Source organism: Homo sapiens, chromosome 5, assembly GCF_000001405.40.
Source record: "Homo sapiens chromosome 5, GRCh38.p14 Primary Assembly".
Taxonomy (NCBI): domain Eukaryota; kingdom Metazoa; phylum Chordata; class Mammalia; order Primates; family Hominidae; genus Homo; species Homo sapiens.
In genome coordinates this window covers 14,594,670-14,607,816 of record NC_000005.10, presented here as the reverse complement: position 1 = coordinate 14,607,816, position 13,147 = coordinate 14,594,670, and the positions used below count along the sequence as shown (strand labels likewise).

The 13,147-nt window shown below is 42.0% G+C and overlaps 1 protein-coding gene across 5 annotated transcripts in view, besides 2 other annotated features; it reads right to left on the bottom strand.

The window, feature by feature from the left end:
• OTULINL (OTU deubiquitinase with linear linkage specificity like) overlaps window positions 1–13,147 on the bottom strand; it is a 34,389-nt gene that overhangs the window by 8,364 nt on the left and 12,878 nt on the right. For 4 of the 5 annotated variants that reach the window (XR_925623.3, XM_047417322.1, XM_047417323.1 and 1 more), the window contains 5 exons: window positions 6,693–6,852; window positions 6,573–6,604; window positions 6,375–6,466; window positions 5,485–5,634; window positions 359–487 (listed from right to left, as the gene is read on the bottom strand). Coding sequence is in view for 4 of the 5 variants with exons in the window: in NM_019018.3 (NP_061891.1) it covers window positions 359–487; window positions 5,485–5,634; window positions 6,375–6,466; window positions 6,573–6,604; window positions 6,693–6,852 (563 nt within the window). In the remaining variant the exon portion in view is untranslated. Of the gene's footprint in view, window positions 1–358; window positions 488–5,484; window positions 5,635–6,374; window positions 6,467–6,572; window positions 6,605–6,692; window positions 6,853–13,147 lie in introns of those variants that run through there. The other variant, XM_047417324.1, reaches the window with a different exon arrangement.
• Window positions 9,451–9,690: an enhancer, noted in NCBI's record as "active region_22406". NCBI's record gives its function as "activates an Ori minimal core promoter by ATAC-STARR-seq in GM12878 lymphoblastoid cells {active_cell/tissue: GM12878}" and the evidence as "EXISTENCE:reporter gene assay evidence [ECO:0000049][PMID:35858748]".
• Window positions 12,539–12,628: an enhancer, noted in NCBI's record as "active region_22405". NCBI's record gives its function as "activates an Ori minimal core promoter by ATAC-STARR-seq in GM12878 lymphoblastoid cells {active_cell/tissue: GM12878}" and the evidence as "EXISTENCE:reporter gene assay evidence [ECO:0000049][PMID:35858748]".

Sequence of the window (13,147 nt, the reverse complement as noted above, 5' to 3'; positions counted from 1 at the left end):
CCATTACCAAGTTATGAATGGGGTGCATTCCAGGAGAGCATTTCTGAGCACCTTGCCTGGACTTGCACCACATTTTTCTGGGGAAACAAAGGTACATGATTGGTAAGGTTTAAAGGCCGGCCCATAGAAGCCCCCGACCCTATAGGGCCTAATTATCGTGTAGAACAATGTTGCTCTCATTCACTTCTTGAAGGAGAAGGAAGAATAAGGAGGGAAATCATCAGTTACTAGAAGCATTTCTGCTTGCACTTCTTACTTTCCTAACATGAAGCAATGTCCCTGACATCAGAGAAAACTGGCTCTATCTGGGATATGTGCTTTTATTCCTAGTCTTTTTATTTCCCCCGCAAACACTTACCTGTGTTTTCAATAATTCCACATATTTCCGTAGTTTTCCAAACACATTCGAGCCTGTATACTTCTCAGGACCAAAACTGTACTGCTGAATCCAATTACAACCTTGTGAAAACAGCAGTTTTTCAGGAAGCTTGAAAAGGAAGTAGATGCCAACTATGATTAGCATATGAACGTTTATTACACACAATTTGCTGTATAGCACAGCACACAACCTTATCTTTTTTTTTTTCGAGATGGAATCTCACTCTGTTGCCCAGGCTGGAGTGCAGTGGCGTGATCTCGGCTTACTGCAACCTCCACCTCCCAGGTCCAAGCGTTTCTGCTGCCTCAGCCTCCTGAGTAGCTAGGACTACAGGCATGAGCCACCACGCCCAGCTAATTTTTTGTATTTTTAGTAGAGACGGGGTTGCACCATGTTGGTCAGGCTGGTCTCGAACTCCTGACCTCAAGCAATCTGCCCGCCTTGGCCTCCCAAAGTGCTGGAATTACAGGTGTGAGCCACAGCACCCGGCCCAAACTTACCTCATTTAGCAATCTTTATTTTAAAAGACTATAGCAACAGTTAAGTATATTGCCTTCTTTTAGATTTGTGCCTCAGGTTATTTTTACATCATATTCTTACAATTTCACAAGTGATGAAAACATAGAATTGTGTCCATAGAAACAATCTTTTTTGTTAAAATAGTTACCAAACTTACTATATGTAGCCCTTTAGAAATTATTTTTAACCAAATGATGTTAGGGCAGTATATTACATCAGGGAACAGGTGGATTTTAGAATGATGCACTCTGTGGCTCACACCTGGCTGTCACTCACCAGCTGAGAGATTACTTAACCGGCATGGATTACTTAACTTCTTAGCCTCATCCTCCATTGTAACATACCAATAATACTGTGCATTTTATAGGACTCTTGTTAGGATTAAATAAGATTATGGTGTATGTAAGAGTCTAATCCATCATAGGTATCCAATACATTTTCCCATCCTACTCAGTTTGCTGAGCCTGGGAATCTCTGTTGTGGTTGTTTTGTTTTGTTTTCTTTTTTAAAGACAAGGTCTCACTTAATATGGTTTGACTGTGTCCCCACCCAAATCTCATCTTGAATTCCCATGTGTTGTGGGAGGGACCTGGTGGGAGGTGACTGAATCGTGGGGGCAAGTCTTTTTCCTGTGCTGGTCTCATGATAGTCAATAAGTCTCACAAGATCTGATGGTTTTAAAAAGAAGCGTTCCCATGCACAGGCTCTCTCTTTTTGCCTGCCACCAACCACATAAAATGTGACTTGCTCCTCTGACTTCCGCCATGATTGTGAGGCTTCCCCAGCCACATGGAACTGTCTCTAAGTCCAGTTAAACCTCTTTCTTTTGTAAATTGCTCAGTCTCAGTTATGTCTTTATCAGCAGTGTGAAAACAGACTAATACAGTAAACTGGTACCAGGACTGGGGTGCTGCTGAAAAGATACCCGAAAACATGAAAGCGACTTTGGAATTGGGTAACAAGCAGAGGTTGGAACAATTTGGAGTGCTCAGAAGAGGACAGGAAAACGTGGAAAAGTTTGGAAGACCCTAGAGACTTGTTGAATGGCTTTGACCAAAATGCTGATAATGATATGGATAATGAAATCCAGGCTGAGGTAGTCTCAGGTGGAGATGAGGAACTTGGAAACTGGAGCAAAGATGACTCTTGTTATGTTTTAACGAAGAGACTGGTGGCATTTTGCCCCTGCCCTAGAGATTTACGGAACTCTGAACTTGAGAGAGATGATTTAGAGTATCTGGTGAAAGAAATTTCTAAGCAGCAAAGCATTCAGAAGTGACTTGGATGCTGTTAAAGGCATTCAGTTTTGAAAGAGAGAGCGTAAAAGTTCAGAAAATGTGCAGCCTCACAATGCTATAGGAAAGAAAATCTCATTTTCTGAGGAGAAATACAAGCTGGCTGCAGATATTTGCGTAACTAATGAGAAGCCAAATGTTAATCACCAAGACAATGAGGAAAATGTCTCCAGGACACGTCAGAAACCTTTACAGCAGCACCCGCACCACGCCCCCCCACCCGCCCCATTACAGGCCCAGACACCTAGGAGCAAAAAGCAGTTCCATGGGCCAGGTCCAGGGTCCCTCTGCTGTGTACAGTCTGGGGACTTGGTGCTCTGCATCTCGGCCACTCCAGCCATGACTAAAAGGGGCCAAGCAAGGTATAGCTAGGGCCATGCCTTCAGAGGGTGCAAGCCCCAAGCCTTAACAGCTTCCACGTGGTGTTGGGCCTGTGGGTACACAGAAGTCAAGAACTGAGGGTTGGGAACCTCCACCCAGGTTTCAGAGGATATACAGAAATGCCTTGATGTCCAGGCAGAAGTTTGCTGCAGGGGAAGGGCACTCATGGAGAACCTCTGCTAGGGCAGCGTGAAAGGGAAATGTGGGGTGGGAGCCCCCACACTGAGACCCCATCCCCACTGGGGTGCTGCCTAGTGGAGCTGTGAGAAGAGGGCCACCGTTCCCCAGACCCCAGAATGGTAGAACCACCAACACCTTGCACCATGCACCTGGGAAAGCCACAGGCACTTGACACTAGCCTGTGAAAGCAGCCAGGAGGGAGGCTGTACCCTGCAAAGCCACAGGGGCGGAGCTGCCCAAGACCATGGGAACCCACCTCTTGCATCAGTGTGACCTGGATATGAGACAGAATCGAAGGAGATCATTTTGGAGCTTTAAGATTTGACTGCCCTGCTGGATTTTGGACTTGCATGGCCTGTAGTCCCTTTGTTTAGGCCAATTTCTCCCATTTGGAATGGCTGTATTTACCCAGTATCCCCACTGCATCTAGGTAGTAACTAAACTGCTTTTGATTACAGTTGCAGTTATTGTCAACATGACATTTCCCACATTTCCAGGGGGAAGACATACCTTAAGAAGGGACTTGCCTTGTTTTGGATGAGACTTTGTACTGTGAACTTTTGAGTTAATGCTGAAATGATTTAAGACTTTGGGGGACTGCTGGGAAGGCATGATTGGTTTTGAAATGTGAAGATGTGAGATTTGGGAGGGGCCAGGGGTGGAATAATATGGTTTGGCCGTGTCCCCACCCAAATATCATCTTGATTGTCTTTATCAGCAGCATGAAAACAGACTAATACACACTCTATCACCCAGGCTGGAGTACAGTGGTGCAATCATAGCTCAGTGTAACCTTAAACTCCTAGGGTCAAGCAATCCTCCCATCATAGTCTCCCAAAAGTAACTATGACCATAGGCATGACCACCATGTCTGGCTACATTTTTTTATTTTTTGGCAAGATGGAGTCTTGCTCTGTTGCCCAGGTTGGTCTTAAACTACTGGCCTCCAGAGATACTCCCAACTTGGCCTCCCAAAGTGCTGGGATTACAGGCATAAGCCACGGCTCCTGGCCTCTGTTGTATTTTTATATCTTTGTCCTCAGCAATTAGCAACTGGGCTAGCACATTGCATATATTTGACAAGCATTTGCTAGATGAAATGGAACTAATAGAAACAAGTTTAAATAAAAGATATTAAGAAAATTGAACACACACACACGTGCGCACACACACACATATTTTATATTTCTTTGCACCTCTATCCTTAAATGTAGTTCCTATATTAGACATACTGCATTTAAAATAAAAACTCAGGTTACTTATCAAGAATGCACTGCCTTACATTGTTAAGAAAATCAGAAGCCACAGACTGGAGAAAATATATGTAAATCATATATCTGACAAAGCACTGTATTCAGAATAAAGAACTCTCAAGACTCAATAATTTAAAAAAAAACATAAAAAATGAGCAAAAGATTTGAATAGCCATTTCTCCAAGAAGATAACAGGGATGACAAATAAGCACATGAAAAATGCTCAACATCATTACTCATTGGGGAATGCACACTAAAAGCACAATGATACCAATTCACAACTATTAGAATGGCTAAAAACAAAAACCTGACAATATCAAGTGCTGGTGAGAATGTGAAACAACTGAAACATTGCTTATACATTGTTGGTGGGAATACAAAATGGCTGGGCCACTTTGGAACGCAGCTTGGCAGTTTCTTATGAAGTTAAACATGCACCTAGCATACAAGCAGGCAGTCTCACTCCTAGCTACTTATCCCCTCAATATGAAACCTATTGTTCATACAACATCCTGTATGAGACTATTTATAACCACTTTATTTATAGTTGCCCCAAACTAAAAACAATCCAGATGTCCTTCAACTGGTGAATGGATAAACAAACTGTAGTACATTCATGTAAAGGAATACCACTCAACAATAAAAAAGGATGAAATACAAATTCACAGACACATTCAATTGAACATGCATTGTGCTAAGTGAAAGAAACCAGATTCAAAAAGCTACATACTGAATGATTCCATTTATATGACATTCTGGAAAAAGCAAAACTATAGGGACAGAAAATAGATCAGTGGTTTTCAGGGGCTGGGGTAGGAGGAGGATGGACTACCAAAGTATACAAGAGAATCTTTGGGGTGGTCACAAACTATGCATTTATTAAAACTCTCATTAACTATAGAGTAAAAAAGTGAATTTTGCTTGATCACCTTACTTATAAAAGAACAGATGCCCCTCAAGAAAAGATGGTGGCATTAAAAACAAACACAGATAATGACTATCTTCTGAGATGGTTTATTTGCAACTGACATGAGAGACAGAGGACTGGATTAAATGGCCTCTTAAAATTCCTCTGGCCAGACATGATGGCTCACACCTATAATCCAAGCACTCTAGGAGGAGGAAGTGGACAGACTGCTTGAGCCCAGAAGTTCAAGACCAGCCTGGGCAACACGGAAAACCCTGTCTCTACAAAAAAATACAGAAATTACATGGGCGTGGTGGCATGCACCTGTGGTCCCAGCTACTCAGGAGGCTGAGATAGGAGAATCACTTGAGCCCAGAAGGTCAAGGCTGCATTGAGCCATGATCACCCCACTACACTCAATCCTGGGTGACAGTGAGATCTTGTCTCAAAAAAACAAAAAAATCTCTTCAATCTCATGGTCATCTGAGTACAAAGCCCCCAAAGACTAGGAGTCTGAGTTGCAGTTATTGTCAACATGACATTTCCCACATTTCCAGGGGGAAGACATACCTTAACAATGTCCTTTTCTTTCATCCATGATGGAAAAGAGATGCCCTGGCTGAATATCTGAAATAACACTGATCTGAGAGCATCATAGTTATCTCTCCTTACTTGTCGAACACATTTAATGTGATGCCGCCAAAATAGCTCCTCATAAGCCTAATAAAATAAAAAGAGAAAGTTGTTTATTAATTCCACTGGACAAGAAAATAAAGTGAATTCACTGTATTTTCAGTGAGGTGTTCCTCCCAACTAAAGTGGACAACAGAAACAATGATAAATTACGAATATGACCGCATGTAATTTTAAAGTGACTCTCATTTGTACAAGTGTATTTTAGATGATAAATCCTGGAAGCAGAGCCAGGGAAGGTCACCTTGGGCAGATAAGGGATGCGACCTAACCACAGTGAAAAACTCTGTATACTTTTAGGACCATGCTAAGTACTTTATATGTACTCCCTCCACCCTTTTTTGCTTTTGCTAGTGGCAAGATTGGGCAGCACTGCTGGGGATATTTACCAAGATTGGTCCAATAAAAATTCTAAAAATCCTCAAAATATTTTACATCAGGGTGCCTGATCTTTTCAAAGACAGTCTCCACTGCACATGCGGATGTTTAATAGGCCTGGCCAGGAGGGTGCTGAAAAGGCACAATGCCTGAGTTTCCTGGAATTACAGACCTCATCGACCTGAGCCCTTGAGGGCACGAGCTCCAGGTAAAAGCCCAAAGCCAAGGTCTAACAGCCATTTGGCTTTTGAGTTAGAGCCACAGTTGTTACTTGACTCACATTTTGGTACTGATGGATATCTGGATTTAGTAAAGCAGAAGGGAATGTTTGTTTCCTGATTTTGACAGACAAACTCTATTTCTCCCATACCCTCTAAAAACAGACACACCTTCCTCATCAGCTTGTTACGGGGTGTCTCTCCTTTCCATTCTCTTGCACAATAACTGAGTAAATCAACCTCTGCCTCCACACTGAGGTTCCCTGGACCAAATAAAAAATAAAAAGCTGTTAATTCTCCCTTTCTTCTCCCTTCTTGAACCCTCTCTGCACCTTAAAAATAAAGAAATAAATGAATGAAAATATTTACTTTTGAATTTTCTCTGCAGATATCCAATCCACCTGAAAGATAAAAGGGAACAATAATATCAGAATTCTGCTTTGAATAGTAAAGATACATTTGAAATTTAAGGATGATACAGTGACCTACCATTTCAGCTTGTGCCCTGAATATAAATGTAGCCTCCGGAAGTAGCAGATGGCAGCCACCAGAAATGAAACTGCCAACATCACAAAGCCTTTTGCCATTCTCCAGACAGTGTCTAAGGCTTGGCTTGTAGCTAGCATCCAGGAGTGAACTTGGTCACTTCCTATGAAAATTACAAAAAAAAAAAAAAAAAAAGCACATCACAATTACACAAGTTTGCTTTAAGAGAAAAAAAATGCAGAGAGAGATTGCATAATTTTACCTGCAAAGTATCTATCACTGATTTACATAAATATTTTTAAAGTATTTAAAAATTCAATCCAAAAATTAAAGAAATTTTTAATTTCTTTATGGTTCTCCCATAATCAGCACCATATACAAGACCATCTTTGTTCCACAAAATTAAGAAGAATAAAGAGTATGGGCTTCAGAATCTCTCAGACTTGAACTCAAAACCTGCCTCTACTATTTGATGTGTGACTATGGCAACCTAACTCCTCTTCTGAATTTTCTTGACTGTACAATGAGTGTGAAAACACTGACTTGGCTAGGGAAAGGTGGAACAAAATTTTTAAGCACTAGCACAATGCCTGCCACACACTTGGTTCTTGCTGAATATCTGAATTGGATCCCATACACAATTACAGGGATTCAATCCAGACCCAAATACACTGCAGGCAGTCAAACCAGGTGACGTCTAGCGATGCCTCCAGAGACGCCTCTGTGTTCGTCCATTCTCATGCTGCTAATAAAGACATACCCGAGACTGGGTAATTTATAAAGGAAAGAGGTTTAATTGACTCACAGTTCAGCATGGCTGAGGATGTCTCAGGAAACTTACAATCATGGCAGAAGGGGAAGCAAACACATCCTTCTTCATATGGCAGCAGGTAGGAGAAGTGTCAAGCAAAAGGGGGGAAAGCCCCTTATAAAACCCATCAGATCTCGTGAGAACTCACTAGCATGAGAACAACATGAGGGTAACCACCCCCATGATTCAATTACCTCCCACTGGGTCCCTCCCATGACACTTGGGGATTATATAATTCAAGATGAGATTTGTGTAGGGACAGAGCCAAACCATATCAGTCTCCAATATCCACTTCTGCCCATTTATATATTTTTGAAACATTGCATGCCATAACATATGGCATCACTTTAGCAGCACAGAGCAAGTAACTCAGACAGCAGGCACATAGATATCATTTCCAGAAAGTAGACCACTTAAAAGGAGTCATGAGATCTATTTAGTGATGCTGCATATGATATACACTGTGATTCCTGATTTGACAAAAGAGAAAACTAACAGGACTAGAGAGTTCAAACAGTGCACTTGTAATATTTTGCTATGTTCAGTAGATTCCTTATTATGTTTGAGCACATAAAATGCTGAAGTACAAATGAGAAAGAGGACTTTGAATAATGACCAAACCTCTGGGGTTCATTGCAAAATAATTTCCTCCACAGTACATAATTTAGTAAAATTCCAGTGATTAACTCCAGTAAAAGACTCATCAATGTAGAATCTAAAATTTTGACAGTTTTTATCATCTGGATATTTGATGTGATATTTACACTTATAAAGAAATAATTTGCCAGCAAATAAAGAAAAAAACACTAGCAATTTTTTTTTTTTTTGAGATGAAATCTCGTTCTTGTTGCCCAGGATGGAGTAGCAATGGTGTGATCTTGGCTCACCATAACCTCTGCCTCCCGGGTTCAAGTGCTTCTCCTGTCTCAGCCTCCCCAGTTGCTGGGATTACAGGCATGCACCACCATGCCCGACTAGTTTTTTACTTTTAGTAGAGATGGGGTTTCTCCATGCTGGTCAGGCTGGTCTCGAGCTCCCAACCGCAGGCAACCCGCCCACCTCAGCCTCCCAAAGTGCTGGGATTACAGGCGTGAGCCATGGCGCCTGGCCAACAATAGCAAATTTTAAAGATACATTTACAATTACTTAAAAGGATATTTTCAAAAACAAGTGCTTATCTGTTTAGAACAGTTAATTAGCTATTCAAATCATTATATATTTATTCTTACCTAGACATTTAGTAAAACTTTTTATGAAAGCTTAAAAATGTAATGCTATATTGCCTTTTACATCTATAATTTAGATTTTTATTAATTTAGCTTGATTTTTCAACTTTAAAAATTCTGACACAAGCAAATATTTTTAGTGAAGCTTTAAATTCATGGAAGAACTAGAATTTTACACAGGTGATACATACTTTCTTTTACTGTAGGTACAAATGTTTTTTAGAAAAATGGACTATAACATGATTTTAGTTTTTTCCTCATTATAAAAGTTGGACATCTTTTCATATCAGCACACATAAATCTACATTATTCTTTTTAATGATGCATAATATTTCAGTATAAACTGTCCTAAATGTAAGCATTGCCTTTTTTTGAGACAGGGTCTTGTGCCGTTGCCCAGGCTGGAGCATGGAGCACAGTGGCATGATCACAGCTCACTGCAACCTCAAACTCTTAGATTCAAGCCATCCTCCCGCCTCAGCCTAACACTGCCTTATTGATAAACACTTGGATCATTTCCCATTTCTCACTTTTACAAACAATGCTGTGGCAAATATGCTTTTCTAACAGTCCTTGTGGTAGATTTTTAATAGGATAATTTCAAGAAAAGAAAATTCTAGGTCACAGGGTGTGCACATTTTCAGTTTTGACAGACACTACCACAGACTCTCATCACATACACGAGAGCACCTACTTCCCTAAACCCCAGTACTGGTGTGATTTCTCACTTTAGGCTCCATTTACAAGGAAAGCTCTCCTGTACATACTGGCTGTTCACATCTCTTCTTCTCTGAAGGCCTTTTGAAAGCATCTGCCTATTTCCCACAGGGTGGTGCTCACTTGTGGGTGGATGTGAAGGGCTTGCAGTCACTGAAGTGGGGATGGCTGCTGCCCCCTCCACGGACACATGCTCTCGTCTGTCGCAGGCTCCACCCAACCTGCTGCAGTTACAACCCAGGAACCTACTAGTTGGCAGTTACCAACTAGCCCCTGTGGAATTTGAGGTGAGACCCTGAAGCTGGGCCATCTCTCTTGAGCACAGGGCCTCTCTTGTAGCTCCCAGGCCTCCATGGGGACCCGCTACAGACCATGGCTCTCCCCACTCACATATACTCTTCCTACCACATGCCCTTACCCTCAAATCTCAACCCCACCTACAATCCAAGAGATTGTGATATGATCAACCCGTCAGAAAAAAAAACCTAGAACACATGCCTGTACTCCTGGTCTCCCTCTACCCAATGTGTCCACATTGTTTTGTCAAGTAACTGCAGCCAAGAAGGGCCAGGGAGCCTATTCATGGGGGTGCTGGTGTGGGTACCAGAGAACCATCTGGAGGTGGATGGAAGGGTACTCTGTTGGACTTGTGAAGTCACATGGAAGCAGGCCATGGCCGTATAGCCATGTATAGGATCTATACGAGCTGTTCACTGATGACATTAGGAGTGAGCCTTCTCTATCAAAGGAGAAATGCGTTTTAGTAGGAAAGAGTATGACTTCACCAATAGCTACAATAGCTACAGTTTAAGCTTTTATTATGTGCCAGCCCCTATGTTAAGTGTTCTACAGGAATTAATTCATTTACTCCTATGACCATGCCATGGAGCAGGCAGTAAGAAGTCTCTAGAGTCTAACAACATGGTCCCCATGCTGGCCCTGCATACTGCAGCATGTGATATGGGGCAAGTGATTTCCCCTCCCTAAGCCTCAGTTTCTGAACCTAGGAATGAAGACAGCACATAGTAGAGCCTGGTGCACAGTGAGTGCTCAGTGCATGGTCACTCTTACTATCATCACTGCATCACAACACAGGAGGCACAGCAGGATCCACCTCTCAGGGCTGCTGTGAGACTGAAAGTAAATGTTGGGAAAGCACCTGGCACCATACCTGACACACACCATAAGTACCCAATAAACACGAATTATTGTTTTTATTGTTATTACTCTAGTAACCCTTATTTTGCAGAGAAAACTTTGAGGGGGAAAACATTAAATAATTGCCCAATGGGACTCGGCCAGTAAGTAGAAGAGCCAGAATTCAAAAACAGGAGCAATGTGATATACTATGGTATGAATGTGTCCCCAATGTGTCCTACATGTTAGTTTTATGTGTTGGAAACTTAATCACAAAATTCATATGATGATTGGAGGTGGGGCCTTTGGGAAATAATTAGGATTAGATAAGGCCATCAGCATGGGGCCCCCATGACAGGACTGGTGGCTGACCTGCATGCTAATACCCTCTCACCACGTGACGCCCTCCACCACATTACAATGCAGCAAGAAGGCCCTCACCAGATCTGGTGCCTGCTGTGCTCTTGGACTCCCCAGTCCCCAGAACTGCAGGAATAAACTTGTTTTCCTTATAAATCACCCAGTCTGTGGTATTCTGTTATAACAACAGAAAATGAACAAAAACATGATGCCAGAAGTTGCCTCCTTTACCACTTGGCTGTCCTGCTTCTGAATTAGGGAACCAAGGAAATCTTCAAATTAATATTGCTATAGCAAGTAAATTAAGACTCTTTAAAAGGAAAATTTAAAAAAAATTATCCTTCCTGGGCTAATAACTGAATTACAACTAAAAAATGATACAGAAGAAAACACCGTAATGAGACATCTTGCAAAACAGTGTCATAATGACAGTTCTGATGACCTCCAGCATCAAATCTCATTTCCCCAAATACAACTGAGATAAAATTGTGGATATCAGAAGGTTCATAGGGGTCCCCCTTCCACCAGCCTGCCAAGGAGAATTCTGCAGTCCCTGGCCCAGCTTTCCCGCCTCATCCCTGGAGAGGGATGCCTGTGGAAGGCTTGGTGATTGGGACTCAGAGAAACAGGAAGGGAGAAAAGGTTTCACCTCCACGAATTCAGTCATTCTACATAAAAAAAGAACAAAAAGGAGTGTGTTGGGAGGGGACAAGTTTTGGCAAAAAAAATCTCCAGAAAGTCCACAAGGGGACTTCCAGGACAGTAGGAGCCTCAGGTCCACAGTGAAGTTTCACAAGTCCACAAGGAAGTTGCAAGGGGAAGTGGAAAAGAGCAGTGTTGCCAGAAATTATGGATTTGATCCTCTTTAATGCCTGTGAAGATACACAAAAACATGAAATTTCTTTTCAATATTTTTGGGCTGAACCACTTGGGTGGTGGCTGAAATGAGACCATACATACAGCACAATGCATGTCTGTTATATTGCAAAGTGTATTACCTAGGTCTCATACATCCCCCTAGTCATCAGCATTAATGCATGTTGGGACCCCGACCCACACAAGCAGAAGTAATGCTTCAGCAGTGAACATGTCCTAGAGGAATTATACCAGGACCTCCTGAAATCAACAAAGTGAATATCAGAAACTAAAATCTGATCTGTGATCACTCAAACGATATATGGCAGATGAGACTGTTGGTCAGAACTACACAAAAAAAAAAAAAAAAAAAAAAAAAAAGCACCGTTTTTGGTGGTAAAATTCTACTTAGTGTTTTTTTTTTTCCATTCTCTACAATATACCAAAGCTGAAGTAATTCAAACATTAAAACAGGAAACCAAATACACACACACATACCCCAAAACCCTGAAAACAAAACTAAAAGACACTGAAGAGCCGGAAACCAAGTGATCGTGCAAACAGCAGTTCTACCCCAGGAGCCTGAGGCTCCTACTGTCCTGGACATCACAGTCTCTCTATCTCATGGAAACTCAGCAGCGTCTGGTTTGCCTCAAACTTCCAGAATCTGTACTATCTCTACTTCCTCATGGGCCAGCTGCATAGTCCTCAACCTTGTCTACTTCCTCTCCTGATCTTATTCATGGTATATACAATATCAGTACCTCCACACTTTCTCTCTACACACAGACTCTGTCACCTGCATCTAGCCCACTGACTTTCTCCTGAAGCAGAGGTGGTCTTTCAAGGGCTACTGAGCAGGCCAGGGAGCAGGGACATCAACTCTGAGCTGGGAGGACATAAAGGCAATTTAATTTAGATGTCTGAGGTCGCAGAGAAAGTGAAGAAATATACATACAGTGAAATCACCTGGCTAAAAGAACTTAAGGTAGAAGTACTACATTTAATAAACACAACAGGTATTTCTATCTGCTTCAATGTCCTATTATGGTTAGTTAGCAGACGATGGAAGAGAGAGTGGTGAAGAGAGGCTGATGGAATAGGAAGGAACTCAAGGGAGGGGTGAGAAAGGACACTCTGTGGCAAGAGAGGTAGGAAGATGGGGGTGGGTGAGCAAGCAGAGGACACAGAGACTCCTGAGGTGCTGGGGAAACTTCACACTTTTCTGAGCTGTGCCATGGAACCCTGCTCCCTTTGAAAAGGTGAATATGGCTTTTAGGTCATTTGTAATCAAGGGCAGGAAGTGCTGTACAGAGGAATAAACTGAAGCCAATGGAACAGGCAGACAGGGA